Raw genomic sequence first — 27836 nt, 5'->3', positions numbered from 1 at the left:
GAAGAAATACTCAAAGAAATGAACAGAGTAACACTTTGAACAGGAGCTGTAGGGCAACTCCAAGAGGCCTAATATATGTGTAATTGGAGTCCCTGAAGAGGAAGAATTAGGACTGAAAATATTTCAAGAAACAATGGGCAAAACACCCTAAATTTGATGAAAACCATATAAAACAGATCCAAAAATCTCAACAAACTTCAAGCACAAAAACATGAAGAAAACAACATCAAGGCATATTGTAAACAAACTGTTCAAAACCCATGAAAAAGAGAACATCTTTAAGGCAGCCAGAGAAAACCGACACACTATGTACAAAGACCCAAAGATAAGAACAGTAGATTTTCCACTAGAAACCATTCAAGCTAGAAATTACTAAAACAGCATCTTTAAATATTTAAAGAAAAAAAATGCCAGCTTGGATTCTGAACAAAGCAAAAATATTTATCAAAAGTATAGGTGAACAAAAACCAAAAGAATTCACAACCAGCAAACCTCCACTACAATAAATGTTAAAAGAAGTCCTTCAGGCAGAAGAAAAAGGATACCAGATTAAAATGAGGATCTGCACAAAGAAATAAAGAATATTAAAAATGGCAATTAAATGAGTAACTCAAAAGACTTTTTCTTATTTAAATTTATTTAAAAGAAAACTGAGTGTTGACAATCAATAACAATGTAGTATAGATTCATAATATATCTAGAAGTAAAATATCTAATAACAATAGCACAAATGCCAGGAGAGACATAGAAATATGCTTTTGTAAGATTCTTACACCATATACAAAGTGATATAATATCACTTGAAGCTAGAATGTTAATTCTAGCTAATTGTTTATCTGATATAAAGTCTATCAGACTTTAAACAATCAGACTTTATTGTTTAAAGTCTAGAGAAACAGACTTTAAAACAAAAGCAGTTAAAAAAAGACAAACAGGAAGATTATATAATGATAAAAGGACTAGTCCAACAGGAAAATATCACAACCCTAAATATATATATATATATCTCTAACACTGGAGCTCCCAAATTTATAAAATAATTACTATTAAAACTAAAAAAAATGACATATGACATAGACTGCAATAAAATAATAGTGGGAGACTTCAGTACCCCACTGACAGCACTAGACAGGTCATGAAGACAGAAAGTCAACAAAACAACAATGGACTTAAACTATACCCTAGAACAAATGGACTTAACAGATATTTACAGAACATTCTACCCAACAACTACAGAATGTACATTCATCAGCACATGGAACATTCTTCAAAATAGAGCATATGATAGGCCACAAAAGAAGTCTCGATAAACTTCAGAAAATTGAAATTATATCAAGTACTCTCTCAAACTACAGTGGAATAAAACTGGAAATCAATTTGAAAAGGAACCCTCAAAAGCAGGCAAATACATGGAAATTAAACAACCTGCTCTTGAAAGATTGTTGCATCAATAATGAAATCAAGATAGAAATTAAAAAATTATTTCAACTGAATAACAGTGACACAACCTATGAAAAGCTTTGGGATACAGCAAAAGCAGTGCCTGCATCAAAAAATTGGAAAAAGGACAAACAGACAATCTAAGGTCACACCTCAAGAAACTAGAGAAACAAGAACAAACCAAACCCAAACCCAGAGAAGAAAAGAACTAACAAAGATCAGAGCAGAACTAAATACAATTGTAAGAAAAAATTATACAAAAGATAAATGAAACAAAAGCTAGGTCTTTGAAAAGATAGACAAAATTGATAGACCATTAGCAAGATTAGCCAAGAAAAGAGGAGGGAAGATCCAAATAAACTAGATTAGAAACAAAACAGGGGATATTATAACTGCTACCACAGAAATACAAAAGATCATTCCAGGCTACTATGAACACCTTTGCATGCACATAGTAGAAAATCTAGAGGAGATAAATAAGTTCCTGGAAATATACAACATTCCTAGATTAAACCACAATGAAATTAAATTCCGAACAGACCAGTAATAAGCAGCAAGATTGAAATGATAATAAAAAAAATTGCCAACAAGAAAAAGTCCAGGACCAGACGAGTTCACAGTTGAATTCTATGAGACCTTCAAAGAAGAACTGGTACAAATCCTATTGACACTAATTCAAAAGACAGACAAAGAGGGAATCCTCCCTAAATCATTCTATGAAGCCAGTATCACCCTAACACTAAAACCAGGAAAGAACATCACAAAAAAGAAACATTACAGACCAATCTCCCTGATGAACGTAGATACAAAAATCCTCAACAAAATACTAGCTAATGGAATCAAACAGCATACAAAAAAGGTAATCCTCCATGATCAAGTGCGTTTCATAGTAGGGATGCAGGGGTGGTTTAACATAAGCAAGTTAATAAATGTGATATATGACATAAACAGAATTAAAAACAAAAATAACATGATCATCTCAATAGACACAGAAAAAGCATTTGACAAAATCCACCATCCCTTTATGATTAAAACCCTCAGCAAAATCAGCACGGAAAGGACATACTTTAAGGTAATAAAAGCCATCTATGACAACGCCACAGCCAACATTATACTGAATGGGGAAAAGCTAAAAGCATTCCCTCTGAGAACTGGAACAAGTCAAGGATGCCCACTTTCACCACTTCTCTTCAACATAGTACTGGAAGTCCAAACCAGAGCAATCAGACAAGTGAAAGAAATAAAAGGCATCCAAATCAGTAAAGACGAAGTCAAACTGTCACTGTTCACCAATGATATAATGGTGTACCTAGAAAACCCTAAAGCCTCATCCTAAAAGCTCTTAGAACTGATAAATGAATTCAGCAATGTTTCAGGATACAAAATCAATATACACAGATCAGTAGCACTGCTATACACCAACAGCAACCAAACTGAAAATAAAATCAAGAACTCAACCCCTTTTACAACAGCTGCAAAACAAACAAACAAATAAACACAACAGAACATTCAGGAGTATATTACACCTAACCAAAGAGGGGAAAGACCTCTACCAGGAAAATTACAAAACACTGCCGAAAAAAATCACAGATGACACAAACAAATGGAAACATATGCCATGCTCATGGATGGGTAGAATCAATATTGTAAAAATGACCACACTGCCAAAAGCAATCTACAAATTCAAGGCAATTTCCATCAATATACCACCATCATTCTTCACAGAACTAGAACAATTCTAAAATTCATATAGAACCAAAAAAGAATCCACATACCCAAAGTAAGGCTAAGCAAAAAGAACAAATCTGGAGGCATCACATTACCTGACTTCAAACTATACCATAAGGCTAAAGTTACCAAAACAGTATGGTGCTGGTATGAAAATAGGCTCACAGACCAATGGAACAGAATAAAGAACCCAGAAATAAAGCCAAATACCTACAACCAACTGATCTTTAATAACGCAAACAAAAACATAAACTGGAGAAAGCACACCATATTCAACAAATGGTGCTGGGATAATTGGCAAGAATAATGAAATTGGACCTTCATCTCTCACATTATACAAAAATTAACTCAAGATGGATCAAAGACTTAAATCTAAGACCTGAAACCACAAAAATTCTAGAAGATAACATCGGAAAAACCCTTCTAGACATTATCGTAGGCAAGGATTTTATGACCACGAACCCAAAAGCAAATGGAAAAAAAACAGAGATAAATAGCTGGGACTTAATTCAACTAAAAAGCTTCTGCACAGTAAAAGCAATAATCAGCAGAGTAAACAGACAACCCACAGAGTGGGAGAAAATCTTTGCAAACTATGCATCTGACAAAGGACTAATATCCAGAATCTATGAGCAACTCAAACCAATAAGCAAGAAAAAAACAAATAATCCCATCAAAAAGTAGACTAAAGAAATGAATAGACAATTCTCAAATATACAAATAGCCAACAAACATATGAAAAAATGATCATCATTACTAATTATCAGGGAGATGCAAATCAAAACCACAATGTGATACCACCTTACTCCTGCAAGAATGCCATAATCAAAAAATCAAAAAATAATAGATGTTGGTGTGGATGTGGTGAAAAGGGAACACTTATATACTGCTGGTGGGAATGTAAACTAGTACAAATCACTATAGAAAGCAGTGTGGAGACTCCTTAAAGAACTAAAAGTAGAACTACCATTTGATCCAGCAATACCCTACTGGGTATCTACCCAGAGGAAAAGAAATCATTATACAAGATACTTGCACACACGTTTATAATAGCAGAATTCGCAATTGCAAAAATATGGAATCAGCCCAAATGCCCATCAATTAACGAGTGAATAAAGACAATGTGGTACAAATGTACTATGAAATACTAATGAGCCTTAAAAAGGAATGAAATAATGGCATTCGCAGCAACCTGGATGAAGTTGGAGACCATTATTCTAAGCGAAGTAACTCAGGAATGGAAAAGTAAACATCATATGTTCTCACGCATAAGTGGGAGCTAAGCTATGAGGATGCAAAGGCATAAGAATGATACAATGGACTTTGGGGACTTGGGGAATGGGTGGGAGGTGAGTGAGGGATAAAAGATTACACATCAGGTGCAGTGTACACTGCTTGAATAATGGGTGCACCAAGACCTCAGAAATCACCACTAAAGAACTTATACATATAACCAAACATCACCTTTCCCCCAAAAACTACTGAAATAATATTTCAAAAATAAAGAGAAATTAAACGAGAGAAATGACAGTAGTGTTCAGAGACAGACAATCTATTCATGGATGTAGGAAGGCTGGAAATTATGGGAAATCCACGTAAAATCAACATTGCCTGTGCTAAAACAAAACTTGATGACTCCATTTTCTTAACAGCAAAATTGCAAAAAGTGACATTAACATCCATCCTAGAAGAATGAAACACACATCACCTTTACTGATATGAGTAAATGATTTGTTTTTCCTTGAAAGAGTATCCAAGTGTATTGTGTTCATTTTCACACTGATCAAAGACAGCACCCTTCTGTCAACAGGCATCTGCAGTTTTCAGGACCTGGCAGAAATTCTATCTTCTACCTTTAAAGGTCAGGCACAAAAGTAGAGGCAGCTGCTAGGCCCCCTCTGCCCAGAGCCAAGTGACTGGGACCATCAGTGGGAAGGATAGAAGCCTGAGCTTCCCCGGTCCCCCAGATGGTCTGGGTGCTGCCCTCCCCCGCTGCAGCTGCGCCCTGTGACGTCCCTGATTCCGTGACGCGCCGGCCTAGCCCTTGCGGGACCCTATGGCCAGAGGGTGCCCGGCGCGCGATGCTTTGCACAGTTTCTGGCGTCCTGATTCCAATGGTCACCAAGCTCTGCACACTTGGCCCCAGCCGCAGACTTCGGAAACTTCTGGAAGCCGAATTTCTAAGGGAAGGTCCCTACCACTGCACTGTTGTCATGGGCAGCTACCTGAGCTGGCTCCTGGGCTAGCCCCGGGCCAGGGTGCTGCCCCGAGCCCAGAAGCACCAGGATATGCGGTCCAGGCCCGTCCTCCGCTCCAAGGTCAAGGACCGCTACAAAGTCCTCTATGTCAATGGGAAGCACTGGGTCCGCACCTGGCCCCTCCCCAAGGCTCCTCCTGGCTGGGTCTATCCAGCATCCAGAGAGAGATGGTCCCCAAGGCCTGGAGGCGCTTTCCCAACAGCCCACCACTCCTGAGCATCACCGGGCCAGACTTTTCCGAGGCTCACCTGGCCTACATGAAGTGGTGGCTTTGGAAGGCCCGGCACCCCAGGCCCGCCCGCAGCCTGGTGGTCGAGCTTGGTGAGGGAGGGGCAATTCCTGAGGCTTGAGTAGGTGGTTTTCCCCTTACAGTGTAAACAAAGCCACCAGAAAGTTCGAGCTGGGCGGAGCCCACCGCAGCACCCCAAAGTGGCTGTAACCAGACTGCCTCTCTAGATTCCTCCCGTCTGGGCAGGGCATCTCTGAAAGAAAGGCAGCAGCCCCAGTAAGGGGCTTATAGATAAAACTCCCATCTCCCTGGGACAGGGCACCCTGGGGGATGGGGCAGCTGTGGGTGCAGCTTCAGCAGACTTAAACATTCCTGCCTGTCGGCTCTGAAGAGAGCAGTGGATCTCCCAGCACAGCGCTGGAGCTCTGCTAAGGGTCAGACTGCCTCCTCAAGTGGGTCCCTGAACTCCATGCCTCCTGACTGGGAGACACCTCCCAGCAGGGGCAGACAGACACCTCATACAGGAGAGCTCCGGCTGGTATCTGGAGGGTGACCCTCTGGGACAAAGCTTCCAGAGGAAGGAGCAGGCAGCAATCTTTGCTGTTCTGCTGCCTCCACTGGTGATACCCAGGCTAATAGGGTCTGGAGTGGACCTCCAGCAAACTCCAGCAGACCTGCAGAGGAGGAGCCTGACTGATAAAAGGAAAACTAACAGAATCCAATAATATCAACATCAACAAAAAGGACGCCCATGCAAAAGCAGTAACATCAACATCAACAAAAAAGATGTCCCATCTGAAGATCACCAACATCAAATAACAAAGGTAGATAAATCCATGAAGATGAGGGAAAACCAGCACAAAAAGGCTGAAAATTCCAAACACCAGAATGCCTCTTGTCCTCCAAAGGATCATAACTCCTTGCCAGCAAGGGAGCAAAACTGGATGGAGAATGAATTTGATGAATTGACAGAAGTAGGCTTCAAAACGTGGGTAACAACCAACTCTTCTGAGCTAAAGGAGCATGTTCTAACCCAATGCAAGGAAGCTAAGCACCTTGAAAAAAGGTTAGATGAATTGCTAACTAGAATAACCAGTCTAGAGAAGAACATAAATGACCTGATGGAGCTGAAAACACAGCATGAAAACTTCGTGAAGAATACACAAGTATCAATAGCTGAATCGATCAAGTGGAAGAAAGGATATCAGAGATTGAAGACCAACTTAATGAAATAAAGCATGAAGACAACATTAGAGAAAAAAGAATGAAAAGGAATGAACAAAGCCTCCAAGAAATATGGGACCATGTGAAAAGACCAAACCTACATTTGATTGGTGTACCTGAAAATGACGGGGAGAATGGAACCGAGTTGGAAAACACACTTCAGGATATTATCCAGGAGAACTTCCCCAACCTAGCAAGACAGGCCAATATTCAATTTCAGGAAATACTCAGAACATCACAAAGATACTCCTCAAGAAGAGCAACCCCAAGACACATAATTATATGATTCACCAAGGTTGAAATGAAGGAAAAAATGTTAAGGGCAGACAGAGAGAAAGGTTGGGTTACCCACAAAGGGAAGTCCATCAGCTTAACAGTGGATCTCTCAGCAGAAACTCTACAAGCCAGAAGAGAGTGGGAGCCAATATTCAACATTCTTAAAGAAAAGAATTTTCAACCCAGAATTTCATATCCAGCCAAACTAAACTTCATAAGCGAAGGAGAAATAAAATCCTTGACAGACAAGCAAATGCTGAGAGATTGTGTCACCACCAGGCCTGCCTTACAAGAGCTCCTGAAGGAAGCACTAAATTTGGAAAGGAATAATCAGTAACCAGTCACTTCAAAAACATACCAAATTGTAATTACCATCAACACTATTAAGAAACTCCATCAACTAACAGGCAAAATAACCAGCCAGCATCATAATGACAGGATCAAATTCACACATAACAATATTAACCTTATATGTAAACGGGGTAAACACCCCACTTAAAAGACACAGACTGGCAAATTCGATAAAGAATCAAGACCCATCAGTGTGCTGTATTCAGGAGACCCATCTCACGTGTAAAGACACACATAGGCCCAAAATAAAGGGACAGAGGAATATTTACCAAGCAAATGGAAACCAAAAAAAAAGACAAGGGTTGCAATCCTAATCTCTGATAAAACAGACTTTAAACCAACAAAGATCAAAAAAGATAAAAAAGGGCATTACATAATGGTAAAGGGATCAATGCAACAAGAAGAGCTAACTATCCTAAATATATATGCACCTAATACAGGAGCACCCAGATTCATAAAGCAAGTTCTTAGAGACCTACAAAGAGACTTAGACTCCCACACAATAATAGTGGGACACTTTAACACCCCACTGTCAATATTAGACAGATCAACGAGACAAAATTAACAAGGATATTCAGGATTTGAACTCAGCTCTGGACCAAGCCAACTTAATAGACATCTACAGAACTCTCCACCCCAATCTGATAGAATATACATTCTTCTCAGCACCATGTCACACTTACTCTAAAATTGACCACATAATTGTAAGGAGGTTAGATGTAAACAAATCTGTCCTTGTTTACCTTTGAGATTTGGGCTAAAACATGGTAAATGTACAATACATAATTATCAAAAAGTGCCAACTGTTTCTTCTTCGCCACAGCTTTCTGAATTTGAGTCTTAGGTGACTCTCACTCCCTTCCGTCAGAGGACTTTTTGTAATGGAGGAACAAACTGAGAGTGGCCTTGGGAAGGTACTCACAGTGCCTCCATGTGGAATCTTAGCTGTTGGGTTTTTCTTTTATTTTTCTTTCTTTTTTTTTTTTTTTGAGACAGTCTCACTCTGTGGCCCAGGCTGGAGTGCAGTGGTGCGATCTCGGCTCACTGTAGCCTCTGTCTCTTGGGTTCAAGTGACTCTCATGCCTCAGCCTCCAGAGTAGCTGGGATTACAGGCACACACCCCCAAGTCCAGCTAATTTTTGTATTTTTAGTAGAGATGGGGTTTCCACATGTTGCCAGGCTGGTCTCAAACTCCTGGCCTCCAGCGATCCGTCCACCTCAGTCTCCCAAAGTGCTGGGATTACAGTCGTGAGCCACCACGCCAAGCCTGGTTTTTCTTTTTCTTTTTCTTTGTTATTCCAGAAGTTATTTTTTATTCCAGGTATTTCTCTTCATTTCCTGGGACAGTCTGAAAGTTAAGCCTCCTAGATCTCAAGTTAAGGGAAACTATCAATAGTGTTTGGTGGATAATGGCTTTGGCTCTGTGTTCAGTGAACCATCTAAGTCTCTTGTGAAATAAAAAGAAAACAGGGATTGAGGAGCAAGGGAATATCTCTGAGGACAACATGAAGAAAAATGGAAAGGTTTCAGCAGAAAGAAAAGAAGAGAATTAATAAGGCATATTGCCAAAGTTGAAGATGGAGGCACCAGGGATTCTAGCAAAGCTGTCTGACAAGGGAAAGGGCCTGCTGCCTGCAATCGGCCAAGTGACCAGGCCAAGCCAAGAGCTACTGGCCTGGCTCAAGGGCTCAGGGGCCAAGGGAGCTGAGTCCTTGCCCTCTAAAGCTCCCTGGTCTCCAAATTAAGAACCTCTCATTGTCCCAGAGCCTCTGGCAGGTGATCCCCCCAGCAGCGCTAAGAAGGCATGTGACATCTTCCATGCCCTGTAGGAGTGATACCCATCAGTGTTACTAGTTTTGCTGGGTGTCCAATGATCAACCATGGGAACATACATTGTTCTCTAAATTAAGACACCCACAAACCCAAGGAAAAGTGTTTGAGTCCTGAAGGAGTAGGATGGAGGCAGCCCCTCATATGTGTACTTCTAGGACTGAACTGAGTTTGAAGAAGTGACACCCTTATTACAAAAATGTGTAAATATGAATGAGCCAGCCTCAGAAGAATTTGATCTGCCTGTCTGTATCACGGTGGTATTTTTATGCAGTAGTATAGTCTTAAAACCTTGACTGTTGCAAAACAAACTCAACTAAGATTATTTTTATAACTTTGAAGTTTTTCCATATTTTGTGCATAAAGTAAAACTGTGAACATTTGTCACATCATACTATTTCAAAGGTGCATAATTCAAGTTCACATCAAATTTATAACATCCTGATGAAGGTGCAGTGGTGGGGGACAGCAATGGTAGCTTGGTGAAGGACAGCATCACAGCTTTGAATATCATCTCTCTGCCTACAGATAACGCTTTTACATCTCTAGCCAGGTCCTGTCCTCTAAACTCCAGTCCCATAAATCCCATGCTGTATCCTGCCGGATGACCAAAGACATTTCAAACTTCTCATGTCCTTGCTTGACTCTTATCTGCCTTTCTAAACGCACTTCTCTATGTGGCAACTCCATTCTTCCAGTTGCTCAGGCCAGAAACCCGGAGTTCTCCTCCATGGCTTTCTCTCTTGCAGCCCATGCCCAGTGAGTCTGGAACTTCTTTGGCTCTACCTTCTCTCTGTCTCGACACCAAATGGACCAAGGCCCTAAACAGTTATGACATTAACCCCTTAGGACCTACATACTCCAAAATATTTACTCTTTGGCCCTTGACAGAAAACAACTTCTGAGCCTTGTTTTATAGGGCATATTAGAGAAGCAAGAAATTATGAAAAGCTGGATGGTAGTAACAAGGGCCATCAGTTTAAAGGTGACATGAAGGATGACAGTTGCACACAGATGAGTTTCACAAATGTCTGCATCTACAGACATATGGAAGAACAGAAAAAGGCTCTCCTTAAAGGATGAAAGGCATTCATATTTTAGACAATTATCACCATCTTACATGATGACTATCTAAACGTACAGCAGGAAAAGGCAGAAACTGTTGGATCGGTTACCTGAAGGATCGGAACTGTAGAGACTGGTGGCTGTTGTTATGGGTCCTGGTGGGTGGATGGCGCTCGCTGAAGACCTCTGACTTGCAATCAGAATCCTGCTCTTTGCAGATGGTAAACGGGACATTGCACCCAATCCTAGCTGGGGCTTAAGGAGCATGGCTGACCGATAGAAAGTTGGAGGGACTTCATAATGAGCATAGGGAGGAGAACAAAACTCTTCTTTTCCAGGGTGGTCTGTAACCTATGATAAATGAACAAAAACTCAATCAGAGACCTTCACATCATAGTGTGAGTTCTATACAGGACCACGAGACCGAGGCTGAACCAATGACCACTCTGGTACCACTTAGCTGCTTGATCACAAGTCCCCTACCTTCCCCGGGCCACAGTGTCTTCGTCTCCTGATTGATAACACACTGGATGATCTCTCAGGTCTCTTCCAGTTCTACTACTCTAGAATCTATAGTTCACTGGAGTTAAAAAGAACTCACTGGATAAGATTTTTTTAATTCCATTGTTACAAAATCACTAGAATCTGAGTGAGTAGCCAAACTATAAATGTCAATAAAGCAAAGAAAGCATTTAGCAAATGTTCATAAAATTATGAAAGTTTTATTATACCTGTGGGAAAAAAGCTGTAAGTTGTATGATAACCTAGTCTTAGACTCACTAGGTAAACTGTGTCCATTTATATTAGATCTTTACTGGGCTACTTAGGAAGCAAAAAATTGCATTGTTAATAAAGGAGGAAACATTTTCCAGAAAAATAGGGAAGTTAATGGAAAATGTATTTTCAGATCTGTACTATGTGTTTACCTAGTTAAAAACCTGAGCCTGAGTTATCTCCTCTGGTCGTCTGCTCGAGTGAGGCGATGCTCCCAGGAAGGTTTGAGCAAGTTTCACCAGAATGGAAGTTCTAGGGCACAATCTCATCAACCGCTGACTTCATAGCACCAAAAACAATGTCTAGCACATAGCTAAAGTCAATAAATATTTATTGAAGAATCATGTTTCCATTTTTTCCTAAGTTTAATAATAACATAACGTTACTGTCACTTTCTCCTGTAGCTAGCAGTTTGGCCTAGAATACAACCTGTGGGCAGTACCTTTTATATATGCAATTCTGTACTCACTAAGTCTGTTCATATTATCAGTGTTTTATTAATATTAAACAGGAAAAAAAGAGAGAGAACTAAATAAACTATTCCTTTAAGTTACAATAAAAAATAGTGCTAAGGGCCATGCATGAAAAGATACATCTGTTAATTAACTCTGTTCTAAATCACAGCACATTTTATGTGTCAAACTTATATCTCAGGAATCATAAGCATTTAACAGTATTCTTTAATGGGGGCTATAAAAGCTTTGATCCAAGCTGTTGAAGAGATAAACCCTTAAATTGATACTCATTTAATGTTGAAATAGATACAAAGTCCTCCTTCAAATTGACATTGTAGAAACAAAAGATTAGGCCTTTAAAGTTTTATCATAATCACACTGTAAAATATGCATGACTGTTATAGTAGATAGTCCTTGGCTATAGCAAATTATATTCCTATGAAAGAACATTCTACATCTGCACTCTGATAAATTTTTTACCATTCTCTACTTACTCTCACTATCAATCTCTGGTTTTTCTCATATATACCCTTTTTTAATTTTAGTTTCTAAATTTTGGGTCCCATTGCACATTGCTTTGAGCAGGTGCTCTTATGAAGAAATTAATATCATTTCCAAACTACATCTGTCAGGTTTTAGGATTGCAATATGCTGATCTTAGTAGTTACTCAGTGCCTTGAAACTGAGTTGTTTTTAGGGATTAAAATTCACCACATTCTCTCTCAACAATGATCTTAAGGATTTCAGTAACTTCAATGCCTGTCATTTTGTTGGGTAATTTGTTTCTGGTGAGATCGCAAATTCTTTAAAAGGGGGAAAACTGCGCCTTTGATGTCTAGTCTGTGCATTTTTAATTAAACAAGGGAATCTACAGAAAGCTTCATACTCTTTTCCTTCATCTTTACTGACAGAATACAGCAGGTGATGCTGCACAGTCATAAAACAACGTTTGGAAACCCCAAACGTTGCTGTTCCCCTCCCTCCATCCCAATGGAGGGTTTTTAGAGAACTCACTTTGAAAGCAAACAAAAGAACCCTATGATTTCAAACAAACTCGTTAAGTCAAGGCATATGAACAAATACATTCTTACCAGGCTGTCCCTCTTCCTATTTGCCCTGCACTGTCCTCAATGGGATAGTGTGCCGTGGAGACAGAGGGTACAGGTGAAGGCTTTGTTAACAAGCCACTGGGATAGTGGTGGGGGAAGGGTGTCTGGGATGGTTAATTTTATGTGTCAACTTGGTGGGGTTGCAATACCCAGATATTTGGTCAAGCATTCTAGATGCTGCCATGAAAGTATTTCTTATATTAGATTAACATTTAAATCAGCAGACCTTGAATAAAGCAGCAGACCCTTCAGCATGTAGGTGAGTCTCATCTAATCAGTTGCAGGGTTTAATAAAAACAGACTGACTCCTCCTAAAGAAAAGGGGATTCTGCTAGTAGATCACCTTCAGACCCAAGCTGCAGCACCAACTCTACCCTAAGTCTCCAGGCTGCTGTCCTGCCCTGCAGATTTTTGACTTGCCAGCCTCTACAATCATGAGCCAATTTCTTAAAATCAATCAGTCAATCAATCTCTCTCTATATATATATATAGAGATTATGTGATGTACCCTCTCTATATATACATCTATATCTGTCTCTACATATGAGATATATATATTGAAACATATATAGATAATATATATTGAGAGACATAAGTATAGATGAATATAGACCTGTGAACACACACCACACACACACACACACACACACACACACACACCTATTAGTTCTATTTGTCTGGCAAACCCCAATCGATGCAGTGCCCCCCAGAGATGAGTGGCAGCAGACAGTGAGGAAGGAGAGCAGCCCTGGATCACACCTCTGTACACTGCACGCACATCGCCTCACTCCATCCTCTCAGCCAAGCCCCTTTCTTCCCACCTCCCTTTACCAAAAATAAAAAGGGCTCCCAAGTTGTTGGAGGGAGGGAGTGTCCCTGAGACCTCAGGAGAGCCAGTGGCAGAGGGCACCTGTTTAGGTAAACATATTTAATACCTGGACATGACTAGATCCCAGATGATCTTGGAAGCCACTTCTGGAAGTTTTAAATGCCTGTGCTGTTCCTGCCAATTGGGAAAAGAGTTCCTCTCTCAGAAGAGTGCTTACTCTTGATTTTTCCACTTCTACCCATGCTATGTAACCAGCAGGGATCTGTCGATAAGGATGGAAGAGTCTGAAGCTGGTTTGAGTTTTTATTTTTAAGAGGTTCTCATTTTATTTAAAAAAAAATCTGGCTTCTATAACTGAAAAATACTTCCATTGCAACACATTATCAAAAATGTGTTCTTTTCCTAGAGACCAGACTGCAGCCACCCCATGATGAGCTTGGGGCACACTGGCAGAAGAAGTCGGCTGTTTTTTCTCCCTGCACTGAGCTCAAACACAAGAGGGGGACTCGCTGGGTTACATCATGTCATAGCTGTAGCAGGTGGCCAAGGACCAGCCTGTTCCCCACTTTTGAGTAAAGAAGGTTACCACAGAAATGAGCCCAGCGCAACCTGAGAAGAGGCCTGGGTCTCGTTCTGATGATGGCAGAAAATGGTCCCCAGATACAGGGAGGGAAACTGACATTTCAAACGAACTTGTAAAGTCGAGGCCCAAAAACAAATAAATTCTTTGAAGAAGACTTTGGGATGCTCGAGGTGCGAGGCCATGATGCTCTCTCCACACCAGTGGGGTCTCTCTGAACCCCTCAGAACCGCCAAAGCCACACAATGTCCATACAATCCCATTTCCTTGAGTCTTGACGTGGTGCCTAGATAATGAAGTAGAGAAAATAGTTTGGGGAAAACTATGCATGTAATATATAAACTATTCTTGGAGGAAGCAGAACAACACAGAAAAGAAATATACACGAAAATATAGAAGGGCACAAAGAAAGAATTACAGACAATGTGGGGTTTGGGCCTACATATCCAAATCAATTTCCCTCATGAGTTTGTTTTTATAGAGAAAAATCTAGGCTCTGGCTATGGTTTGGATATGGTTGGCTTGTCTGTGCCAACTCTTATGTTGAAATGTGATCTCCAATGTTGGAGGTGGGGTCTAGTGGGAGGTGTGTGGGCCATGGGGGCAGATGCCTCATGAATGGCTTGGTGCCCTCCTTTTGGTAATGAGCAAGTTCTTGCTCTATTAGTTCCCATGAGAGCTGGTCCTTAAAGAGAGGCCTGGCACCTCCTCCACTCCCCTCTTGCTCATCTCTCACCACGTGATCAATGCACACGTGGTTCCCCTTCTTCTTCCCCCTTGAGTGGAAGCAGCCTGAGGCCTCACCATAGGCAGATGCTGGTGCCATGCTTCCTCTCCAGCCTGCAGAACCATGAGCCAAATAAACCTCTTTTCCTTATAATTTACCCAGCCTCAGGTATTCTTTCATAGCAACACAAATGGACTGACAGGTCTCTTCATGGAACCTCTGCAGTGATTCCCTGCCTTATAGAAGAGCAAAGCTTCAGAGCCTGACCCTGAGCCTCAGAGGCCCAGGTGGATGAATGTTTAGAAATTTGAAAATGACTCACTATAACTAAACTCAGAGACTGACGTAAAAATCCAGAAGGGCAATTTGTTCACTTTTAATTGGAGACCACTGCCTAAAGCCAGACTCAAGTGTCCTCTAGCCAGAACACGTTCTCATTGCAGGGCACAGAGTAAGAAGCCACTTATAAACAAGATGCCATGCAGCCCCGCACAGCAAGACAAACCCCTGCCAAGCTGACTGGACCCCTGAATTCTCCAGCCAGAATCCTCTCTCTAGAGATGTGAGGTAGGAAGTCCGTTATAATCAGAGGCCTGTTGGCAGGCCCAGAGTCAGAACACAGGGAGCAAGCTGTGTGATTTGGTTGCTAAGGACCTGCGGCAAGGCAGCACAGCTGGTCGGCTTGTTGGGGCACCTCGTCAGTGATTGCCTAAGTCAATGTCTGCTGCCGAGAATGGATTCAACTTTGTCTTTGTGCTAGATATGACAACTTCTGTTGTGATTGATGCATTCTTTAAATATGCCAATATATCTAACCAAGCTAGAGTCCAAATTTGGACTCAATCATCCTATCTCTAGAAACCCTTGGTACACTTTTGTTTAGTTCCAACACATATGGAGTTCATGATTCAGTTATCACTCAACATTTTTTGAGCACATACTTATAAGAAGCACCATTCTAAATTCTGGGAACACGGGGAACAAAATATTGAAAACAATCCCTTCCCTCATGGAGTTTACATTATAGTCAATTCAGGAAAACTAAAAAAGTATTTATGGCAGGTGGAGGTAGGTGCTAGGAAGAAATAAATCAGAGAAAAGGGATTCAGAGAGAAGATGGGTGGCCTTCCCAAGGAGATAACATTGGAACACAGACCTAAAGGGAGTGAGGGAGAGAGCCATCTGGATAACTGGGAGAACATTCCAAGCAGAGGGAGGTGCAAAGGTCCTGAAGCAGCAGAGTGAGAAAGGGAGAGTGGAAGGAGAGGAGGGCAGGTAGCTGACGGACCCCCAGTGAGCACATCCCATCCTAAAGGCAGAGCCATCCTACAGGCTCCAGCTTGTGTTCCAAGCAACCTGGGCAGCCCTGGAAGGTGTTAGAGACAGGATGATCTCATCCTGCCCTTGTTTTTGAGACTGAGTCGCGCTCTGTTGCCAGGCTGAAGTGCAGTGGCGTGGTCTCAGCTCACTGCAACCTCCACATCCTGGGTTCGAGCAATTCTCCTGCCTCAGCCTCCCCAGTTCCTGGGACTACAGGCACATGCCACCACACCCAGCTAGTTTTTGTATTTTTAGTAGAGACGGGGTTTCACCATGTTGGCCAGGATGGTCTCGATCTCCTGACCTTGTGATCTGCCCATCTCGGCTTCCCAAATGCTGGGATTACAGGTGTGAGCCGCTGTCCTTGGCTCCTGCCTTACTTTTAACTGATCACTCAGCTGTCATGAAGAGACTCCTTCAGGAGACAAATCTTAGTTCTGAGGTCTCGAAGGATGACTCACCATAGCTAAAAAGGACAGCACAGTGCAGTCTGAAACTGCACAGGCCTGAGTGAGACTCTCAGAGCTCTCCTTCCTTTGTGGTGGGTGACTTAAAGCTCTCTGTCTGTCTCTGTATCTATACGGTGATAAAAACTGCAATACCGGCTGGGCGCGGTGGCTCACGCCTGTAATCCCAGCACTTTGGGAGGCCGAGGTAGGCGGATCACGAGGTCAGGAGATCAAGACCACGGTGAAACCCCATCTCTACTAAAAATACAAAAAAGTAGCCAGGCGCGGTGGCGGGCGCCTGTAGTCCCAGGTACTAGGGAAGCTGAGGCAGGAGGATGGCGTGAACCCAGAAAGTGGAGTTTCCAGTGAGCCGAGATCGCGCCACTGCACTCAAGCCTGGGCGACAGAGCGAGACTTCATCTCAAAAACAAAGAAAAAGCCAAAAAAAACATAAACAAACAAAAAACTGCAATACCAACCCTCAGGGAATTACTGCAAGGATTAGTGAAGATTAACAAAGATCAAACGCTGTATTATATGGGCCCAGTGTAGAGCTGGCCCTCAATTATATGTTAGTTGTAATTATTACTTTTATTTTAAAGAAAGAGTCCATGCCTAACACACCGTTTTCTGCTCATTTGCTGTTCTTCACGCATGCGAATAAGAGATACTCCCAGGTAGAAAATACTCCCCATTGAGGAATGAGTCTGATCTATTTGAAGAACACAGTAATTTTGCATTCTTTCTTCCTTTAACCTGGCTTATATTATATTATATTCACTTATTTAAACATGGAAGCCTATTTAAGGCATACTCATCTAATTTCATATGAATTATAGCAAGTGAAATTTAAATGGGTCTCCTTAGATATTGGGTACATCTTATTAAGATAATCAGACTCTTCTAGTTAAAAATGGTCATTTCTCTAGACAATCTCCTCTAGTCAAAAACTCCATTTCTTCACAAGTGTATCCATGAAAATCTGTAATTCACTTAAAGAGGACATTTTACTTTCATAACTCATTGAAAATATGTCACAGATATTGGGACAGTCAACTTATAGACCATATCATAATGACATTCTCTTACCTCCTGCAAAAACTTTTCACTCATTTGACTGAAAGGATGTCCCGGGGGCTTGATTCCAGACACCATCAATCCGGAACTGAAGACCCTTGGCTTCTGCAGGTCTGGCTTGAATTTCTCATAGAGGTTGGCAGATGGCTTCAGGTCACCACCTGCTGCCTTCTCTTCGTGGGGAAGAGGCATGGTACATGTGGGCGGGGCATATGGAAGCCCCACTGGAACCAGCGAGGCGTCCACCTGGCCCAGGGCCTGGGGATTCCTCCTGATGTAGGTGATGATCTTGGGCCTCACATGCTTGGGCTTGGGCATAATGATGGGCTTAGTTTCTGTCCTCTCCTCTGTTTTTTCAACCTGATAGTTCTCCATTCCCTCCTGCGAGGAAGGTGTGTCCTTGGAATGTGTGAAGACAGGCTTGGGGATCCCACTGGGGCAAGTGTTCTTGTCAGGCACTTTGGGGGACGTGTTCAACAAGCGTGCACTATCAGTAGGGGGTGGAACTACCAAGGGGGACCCCGCATCCATACCGAACACGCTAACATCCTGAAAACTGCTACTGGGTGTTGTAGGCTGGTAGGTCATGTTCACAGTTGTCTCTGGGTGGAGGGGTGCTGGAATATTGAGAACTGAATCTGCTCTTGCTGAGGTGCTTTCAATCTTATCTGCATTCTCTAGAAGGTTCCTGTTTTCAGCAACAGATGTGGTGACCTCTTTGCTTTCCCGTGCTTCTGAGCGGCCACTTTGAGGGTCCAGGGGCTCAGGCACCTCCGTCTTGTTCTCTCCAACAGAAGGATTGAACACCAAAACCATAACACTGTCCTTATTCCCACTGCCCAACCGCCTTTCCTCCTCAATGACATCCAAGGGCTTGCTGTCAGTCAGATTATTAGGAATAAAAGCCACATGACTGTCACCTGGTGAAAAGCTGCTGGATGTCCTTTCACCCAACTTCTCACCTGCACATGGTGAAATTTTGCCAGTGGGCTGATTATCAGCCCCTCCTAAGGAAGCAGAGCCCTGTTTGGGGGTGGTGTGGAGAGAATCCTGCTCCCCTGGGTTGACTCCTCTCTTCTCTTCACAGTTGCCTCTTCCCACCCCAAGGTGGTGGAGGTCACTGTTCAGCAGATGGCCAAGTGCATCGGTGGCTTCCGGGTGTGCTTCCCCACATGGATCCCTTCCCTCCAAGGCTGACAGATTCTCTTCCTTGTGGCATCCCAGATACCCTTCCTGGGCTGCCTTTCCCTCCTGTTCAACTCTCCTGGGAGGAACATATTTCAGATCCAGCTTGGCCTCTCCCTTTCCCTGACCTAATTGTGCTTCCAGTTTACTTGGGATTTCCTTCGATGCCAAAGTCAAATTCAGAGCAGGCTCTGGATGGGCGGAATGTGATGTGTGCTCACTGCACACCTGCAGTACATGTGCCCCCACTGTTTGGGTCTCTGAGGGAGTGCTCTGCTTGCTTTCTGAGGTAGATGGTTTAGGATGACGCACACTCTTTCCCTCTGAGGTACTGTCAGTTGCAGGGAAAGCTGCCGGGACAGCGTGGTCTGGCAATGTCTTCTGTGGCCCCTCCCCACCCCCAGGTATCTGACCCCGTGCTTCCCGGGAGTCGAGGGATAGAGGCTGTGGATGCTGCGGAGTCAGGCTCCCGACTGCAGCTACAGAGCTGCTTGCTCTTTCCAAAGAATGCCTCCTCAGTTCCTCATTGTCAAGGGTCTTTGCCAGTTTATCCTTGGGAACATGCCGGGGAATTTCAGCATCCCTTTTAGCCAAAACGTCTAGACTGGCCTCACTCATCACATTCCTCCAACTCGACAGACTTGGTCCCTGAATACTCCGCGTGGTCTGCAGGCTATCTGTGCCTCTCTCCACTGTGTGCTCTTCATTGAGTTCCCTCTGAATGGTTGAAGAAAGTCTAAAATCTTTCAGGCTGGCAGAGCCAGCCTGAGAGCCTTTCCCAAAGCCCTGAAGTTGGTGAAATTCCTTATGGAAATGGGTACGGTTTTCTGGCTCACTTGAATTTGTATTTCCAATTTCATCTCCCAGGTCACATGTCTTGGACTCGTCATGAGAGGAGCTGACCTCCAACATGATTTGATTGGCATTCGTATCTCCCAGACTTAAGATGCTTTCATTATTATTTCTTGCTGCATTTCTGTTGTCCCGCAACTGAGTGTAACATGATTTCTTAGGAGCCACTGGGACGCTCATTGTCAACCCTTTGGTGGGGCTGCTTGCCATGCAGTCCTACTTAATGGAAATGGGCTGCCTTCAAGCTGCAATCAGATTAAGAGGAAATTCTCAAGCTGCTTGTTCTCCCCTGACAATGTCACCTTGCGACACTGCTTTAATCATTCTCAGAACAGCTTGAAAACCAAGCATTGTCTTGATATACAGCAGGAAGACTTATCTGTTAGGTTCCTGCTGAATGAGAGCCAATCAGTCCATGAGACCTAGAGAGAAATAAAAATATATTCACATTAGATTGACAAATAGAACTTCTCAGGAGAAAAAAGTGGTAAACACAGATTTATTTGTCATTTCTATATTATTATTTCATTCAATCAATAGTTTTCTCAAAAAACCTTTCTGATCAGGGCTCCTCCTGGCCAAATACAAAAATTAAACATCAAAATGTTTAATGTTAGAAATGGATTATAAATGCATGTGAGATCTTAAATCTAAATTTTAAACATCCACAAGTCTATACTGATACTGATTTAAAAGGATGGAGGAGAAGTAAGGGCTCTTCTTTACAGAAGAATATCAACGAATGTAGAAAAAAATTATAGAATTTGAAAAATCACTATTTTGCAATCGCTACATTCATAATTATCTTACACAAGGGATGCCAAAGGTACAAACATTGGGTAAAAGATTGTTGGGGAACAAGATATTCATAGATGCTTAAAGTATCTTCCCCCAGGCTACTTCATTTCTTACAAAACGAAAATTTTATCTTTACAATGGAGAGATCTGGTAGACACCACATTAACCACGTGATCAAATTTAACATCACTAGTAATGAAACTGACATTACGGACTCCTGATATTAGTTAGTTCTCAGGGCCACACATCACCTATGCAGTAGTTAATGTTCAACCAGAATTTAACCATGAGACAATAATCTGGCAAATTTAAATTGAGGTATGTATTGCAAAATAACTGGCCTAACTGGTCCCAAAAAATGTCAGCGGAGCCTGGATTTTCAAAACATGTTAGCAAAGGATATTATTAGGACAATTAGAGATTTAAATATGGACTGTATATAAGGTACAGGTATTTTATAATTAATTTTCTTGGGTGTGTAATCGTGCTATAATTATGCCAGAGATTAATTTGGTTCTTGAAATATACATGCTTTAGAATTCAGAGGTAGTATGTCATGATTTTTCTAACTTATTCTCAAATGATTCGACCAAGAAAAACGTGTATGTATGTGTGTGTGCATATGAGAAGGAGAAAGAGTAAAAGAGAGAAACTGGCAAAAGTCAACCATTTGAAAATCTAGGTAATAATTCTATTACATCTGCAACTTTTCTATAGGTTTGAAATTTTCCAAAATAAAAACTTGGGGGAAATGCTTTACTCTGGCCTTCGAGGCCTGCATGATCAGGCCCTGAACACCTTTCTGGCCTCAACCCCACCTCACCCTCTGCTCTGCAGGCTGCAGCCACATTGGCCTCATTCCTCACAGTACCATGTTCATTACTCTCTGCCTCAGGGCCTTTGCGCATACTCTTCCATCTGCATGGAATGTGGAATCCTCCCCCAACCTCATCTTACAAGTCCTTTGCATCCTTCAATATGCAACATAACTACCACTTCCTCCAGGAAGCGTTCCTCACTAGGTCATCCTATAATGATGGATTTGTAGTATCCTGTATTTTCACTTTGAAGAATTAAAAAAAGACTTTCAGATTTGCTAGACACTGAAAATAAATATTGTCTAATACCTGGCATACATATTAGGCACGTATTATGTATTTGCAGCACAAATGAATGAATAAATGTCCAAATGAATGATGAGGAAGATCAGCGTTATTTCTGCCCCCAAAGAGTTTAAAATCTACACAGGATATGCTTTTCTGTTAAAGTAGACTCACAGATCACCACTAAACCATTCTATTCAAGGTTGACATTGTTTCATCCACTATTATGAGTGCATTTTATTAGGCACTGGGGATAGGGGATTTTAACAGCAACAAGGTTCTGCCCCGTCACCAATTCCCCCAATGGAGACTTGAAGCCTTCCACACTTTCCTCCTCATTCATCAAGAATGTGCAAGCACACGTGCACACCACATGTGAGGCTACTGTTATGTTTCTCCTGAAACAGGTTACATGGCAACGTGGCCACCCACTTGTTTTCCCTTTATCCCTGTTAATATGTTGTTTCATATATTAAAAAGAATATGAGGGCTGGACACAGTAGCTCACACCTGTAATCCCAACGCTTTGGGAGCCTGAGGTGGGAGGATCACTTGAGGTCAGCCTTGGCAACACAGCAAAACCCTATCTCTATTTAATAAAATGTATATGTTACAAAGCAAAATAATATAACACGTGACAGCCCATCACCCAACCCAAGGACACCTTGCAGCCATCCTCATGCTCCTCCTCACTGAAGCCCTCTGTGTTTCCAACTTAGAGATCTCTTTTCTTTTGCGTCTATACATAAGCATGTAAACTTTTTTACATACATAAGATCATTTCCTATAAGCTGGTTTTTGTTCCATTTTTTAAAATTTGCCTCTTCTAGCCCATACCCCAAGACACATTAACATCTAGATCTTTCCATTTCTTTCCCCATGTTTGCATGATCATGGGAAAATACAGAGTCATACATGTGCATGTGCGCTTGCATTTCCGTACCACACTGCTCTTCTGTTCTTTCCACGACTCCCTCACTGTCCTCATCCTCCCCGCTCTCATGCTTTTTCTCCTTCTCCATCTTCTACCAGCCTTATCTCCACTAAGCCAGTAGCACCCCCTGGTGCAGCCTGACCCCAATATAGCCCTCAACCAAGTTGCTCATACCCTGATCACAGTCTTCATTTCCTGACACAGAGGGGATTCTCAACAAACCCTTGTGTCTTTGTTTATTCAATTTTAAAAGCGTTTCCCTTGAAGATACACATGTTCTCTAAGCACAAATACAAAAAGCATGTAGGCAAATCAATAAGATCACAGTTTAAAAGAATGCTGTGCTCTCTGGGATGAGAAACGGGTATCTTGCAAAGTCAAGAAGGGCAAGAAAGTTCATAAATATAGGCCATCCACAGAAGGGAACTGCCTCTAATTTTCTGTGGGCAGAAGTATAAATATGCAGCCAAGAGCCCTCTTCGGTTTGAATTGTTGAAGCTGGGAGAAAGAAAGAAACTTTGCTCAGCAGAGACAAACAAAAACAAAGTACCAAAGTCCACAACATGTAACATGATTGCAAGAAAGTGACAAAGAAATATAAAACCAATGTCATGCTAGAAAGAGTTGTATTTTAATTTTTAAGGAACTACATCATAAATGTTCTTTATCTTTGTCAGTAAACAACTGGTACTCACTGGTAAGGGGACAGAAAGAAAGGTGGAACCTCCTAGGGGCCCAGTATTTTCTCAGCCATTATACAAATTTGTTTAAAAAATTGAGACAGTATCTCATTCTGTTGCCGAGGCTGGAGTGCAGTAGCACGTTCATAGCTCACCACAACCATGAGCTCCTGGGCTCAAGAGATCCTCCTGGGTCAGCCTCCCAAGCAGCTGGCACTCCAGGTGCACACCACCACATCTGGCTAATTTTTTAATTTTTTGTAGAGATAGGGTCTCGATACATTGACCAGACTAGTCTCAAACTCCTGGCCTCAAGTGATCCTCCTATCTTGGCCTCCCAAAGTGCCAGTATTACAGGCATGAGTCACAGCACCTGGCCTAAAATTTAATTTTAAATTAAAATTACACAATTACAAGTCTTTAATATTCAATTTTAATTTAAGTTAGGACACTTAATAATATTTATAGCAGGCCTCCAGAGACAGGTCTTCACATCCCCTTGCTTTTTTTTTTTTCCCACGTCCTGGTAAGGAAATGAAAGCACAGAGAAGGTAACATTCCCAAGGTCACACAGCTCATGAGTGGCAGAGCTGGGACACATTTAGAAAGCAGAAGCTGTAAAGAAGAAAAGCTGCCCATGAATGGAATCATACACCACACAGGAAGAACAAAAGGAAAACAAACTATTGTAAGAACAAGAATAGAAAAACAAAACCAGAAACCAACACGTGGAAGTTCACATAAGACAGGAAAAGCAAATTTAAAAACTTTCTTCAATTTTATCAGGCAAAATTATATACAGGAAGTCATGTTTCCTGTCAGCTTCCCTCCTCCTTATGTGGCCTCACGCGTCTCCCTCACTCCAGCTCCCTCATCCTGCCATAAGACAGCGGCAAAGTAAACACAAACACGAATTTCTGTCCGGATCTAAATTTCAATCCAAGGCCTTCTACTAAGATAAACGTTTTCACAGAATATATAACATGATCACAGAAGTTCAAACTTGTACATAATACAAGACTGTGTGTGATTAAATAAAATATGCAAATAGGTCAACCAATGGTACAAACCCCTAGTTGAGGTGCATTTTCCCAGAGTGAGACATGTAACTTTCATATGCCTCAGATCTATTATTACAAAAAGTTAACAATAATGGCCTTAGAAGTAATTGATATTTTATCTTGAAAAAAATCAATTAGTTCAGTACTAGTTTGAAAGGAATGTAAAGATCTAGGCTTATAACCTACCTGATGCTTAAGAGTCTTCTAAGTGGCTTCCCCTGGTTCTAGGGCCAGAAAACTCACCACACATCTGGGCAGGGTCTCTGTTGGCAAGCTCTGCCTCTCTACAGCAGAATGATGCAATTCTTCCACCAGATGACCTTTCAGGTATTTACAAAGAGCTATATGCTCCCTTCCTCCCAAAACCTATTCTACTCCTTGTCAAAGAACTCAGATTCTCCCAACTGTGGGATTAGCTTTTGAAAACTCCCACCATCCAAACAGCTTTCCTCTAAGTACACCGTGTAGCACCAGGGAACCTGAAGTCCCTCCTAAACAAGGTGACCAGAGCTATGCACAATACTTCAATTCTAACTGCACCATCTAGAGTCATAAGAAAGCAAGCCTTCCATTCTCTTCTACTTCTAACCACGCATTCTAAGAATGACCTCCTCATGGACATATAAATCACCCTCTAGTTCCACATCATTAATTAAAACACCAAAGTACCATATAAGTTGTCCTAAACTCCACTGACCCAATCCGAGACATTTGTAACTGGTTTTAGCACCCATGGGTGGGATCATAAAAATATACTTCTCAAACATCACCTTGCTGGTCTCAATGCATCGTTCTATCCTTTTAAAACTTGTGGAGCCCATCCTTAATTTTTCATCGAAAATATCTGCAATCCATTCTTGTTCCCATACTATCGTGGAAAAGCTAAGAGTTCCTTCTACATTATCATTCATTGATAATCCACTGATAAATCACTCACTGGTGTCATTCATCGACACCAATGTTAGCAGAACACAGCAGGGGACAAAACAGCAGCCCCCGGTGCCAAAAGGATGTGATCCCGCAATGCTTCCACAATGCTCATCTGATCAGCACTCCTCAGGCACCCCTCTTCCCACCAGTCCCTGCAGCCACTGTGTGTGCCTCCATCTTGTCCACGAGAGCATCATAAGAAACTCTGTCAATCATGACGCTGAAATGTTAGTAATTGTAACGTTGCCTCTCATGAAAAAATAAAGAAAATGAAAGTGAAGAAAGACAAGAAAATGAGGCTGAAGTACCATGACCGGTCCTACACAGTAACCTACAGTTGTGTAAGGGCCATTGTTTATTTTTCATAGTACTCATAACTCACCAATTATCAATGCTTTAAAAAACCTAAGGCTCAGCATCAGGGTTGCTAGCATGAAGCCAGAGTATCACATGCTCTCCTTGCTCAAAACAAAATTGTATCTGCCCATCTTTCATAATCAGGCACATCTTCAGCTCTCCTGAGCTCACAATCTCTGATAATGGTTTGTGAATACACATACATTTCTTTTTCTTTTTTTTTTTTTGCAGGGGGCGGGGGCGGGGGGAGGGGCTGGAGACCGAATCTCACTCTGTCACCCAGGCTGGAGTGCAGTGGTGTGAGCTCAGCTCACTGTAACCTCCGCTTCCTGGGCTCAAGCAGTTATCCTGCCTCAACCTCCTGAGTAGCTGGGATTACAGGCGCACGCCACCACGCCCAGCTAATTTTTGTATTTTAGTAGAGACGGGGTTTCACCATGATGGCCAGGCTGACCACAGGTGATCCATCCACCTTGGCCTCCCAAAGTGCTGGGATTACAGGCATGAGCCACTGGGCCCGGCCAAATGCACATACATTTCTAAATCATGAAGTGAAATGATAGCATCTACACACTCATATAGAATTTCTTCATCCATTTTAGGCTTTGATTTCCAGTGACCCATGTTTTTTTGGTGCAATACAGCATGAAAGGCATTCCTGAATGAAGGGAAACTCACTGGATCCACCACGGTGCCATCCAAGAATATCACCCTGAGTGGCCCAGCCCAATGACAGGCTAAAGTGACACCTCTCGGCTTGACATTCAAGGTCCAATGAGCACTGGGCCTACATGTTTCCAGATTTAATCCCCTTTACTCTTCTACTTAAAGTACATTTGCCCTGTAAAATCATCCTCCTACCCAAGAGCTGCAGACTCTAAGCATCAAAGTCCAGCTCAAAGCCCACCTACTTCATGAAACCTTTCGTAAATTCTCTCCTCTCCTCCCTTCCCCCACCAAACAGGTAGAGGTGGAACTAGGTATTTTCTCTCTGTGTCCTGAATCCACAGATCTTTCCTTTTGGAACTGTCATATCATGCTTTTTAATCATAGCCACGTACATCTAAAATAGTTAAGTGTGTCTTTTTATTACAGTTATATGTGACTCATTATTATCGTTACATGTGTCTTATTCCCTTTATGAAATTATGAGCTCGCTAGGCTGAAGGTTAATGCCACAGGCACTTCTGTTTGCTATGTAATTTCTGGGACAGCACTTTGCACATAGTAGGCACTCCAGATGAGGTAATCTCATCCTAACCTCAGCTCAAAAAGGTGAAATGTTCACTACAATGTGAGTTTTTTTTTTTTTCAATCTTTCAAGATGAAAATTGTAAAGCCACCCTTCCCAACTGAGCAACTGGTTAGACGTCCTCCCAAGAGGGCCATATCAGAATATCCAAGTAAGAGTAGATAGAAAAGTATATTCTGATCATCAGTTTGATTTGTATTTGTCATAATACTTTACTTTGAAAATAAACTGAAGAAAATTTGGGGGATGTTTAAGTTATTAAAAGGAGGCATGGGTTTCGAAAGATTGAGAAGTACGGTTGTACAGCTCTCCTTAGCTGCCAGGTCTGCTGTGTAATGCTTTATCAGTTGTGAATTTTCATATGTACATTCAACCACCATGCCTCTGAATGTAAATGCAAGTTCATCTGACTTCATAAAACTTATTTGCCAAAGGAGCTCCAACTACACCTCCTGCCATGCAATAAGTTACCCTGTAGAACTTTAGGATACAGAAAAATGAACAGAATATGAACCCAAAATTCAAGGGTAAATATAACAATGCAAAAAAATCCAAAATCCTAGCTTTCAAAGTTTAGTTGGCATCTCTACTGGGTACGTGTTTGGTGCCTATAGTGTTTTGCCACATTTAATAGGATAATTGTATATGTAGTTACATATTTATGTACAAGTCAATGTATTCATCTGAAAGTCTCCTGGTAATAATACCTCCATGTTTTCTGCAGTTATAATTACTTAGGAACATTCAGGTTCTTGGTCTTATTTCATAATGTTGGGTATGTTTATTCTCATCAGGCACAATTATAATCTAACACTTGATGCTCTGCACACTAAATGAAACTTACAAGTACAGTGTCCTTACAATATGGTTAAAAACTGAATTATTCTTTGGGAGATGCTAAAATACATATTCAGGGACTCTGCAGCTATGTATGGTGTCACATAACACAAAATATAATAGCTC

The 27836-nt window shown here is 41.7% G+C and overlaps 1 protein-coding gene across 13 annotated transcripts in view; it reads right to left on the bottom strand.

Annotated features, from left to right (window-relative positions):
* Window positions 1–27836, bottom strand: part of MTUS2 (microtubule associated scaffold protein 2) — a 685985-nt gene that overhangs the window by 461311 nt on the left and 196838 nt on the right. For 11 of the 13 annotated variants that reach the window (XM_047430227.1, NM_001384605.1, XM_011535019.4 and 8 more), the window contains 2 exons: window positions 17734–20180; window positions 10512–10752 (listed from right to left, as the gene is read on the bottom strand). In XM_047430227.1, the coding sequence (XP_047286183.1) occupies window positions 10512–10752; window positions 17734–19968 (2476 nt within the window). In that variant the 5' untranslated portion in view covers window positions 19969–20180. Of the gene's footprint in view, window positions 1–10511; window positions 10753–17733; window positions 20181–27836 lie in introns of those variants that run through there. The other 2 variants (XM_011535022.2, XM_024449335.2) reach the window with 2 other exon arrangements.

This window comes from Homo sapiens, chromosome 13 (genome assembly GCF_000001405.40).
Source record: "Homo sapiens chromosome 13, GRCh38.p14 Primary Assembly".
NCBI classification, from domain to species: Eukaryota; Metazoa; Chordata; class Mammalia; order Primates; family Hominidae; genus Homo; species Homo sapiens.
This window is presented reverse-complemented; position numbering and strand designations above follow the sequence as displayed.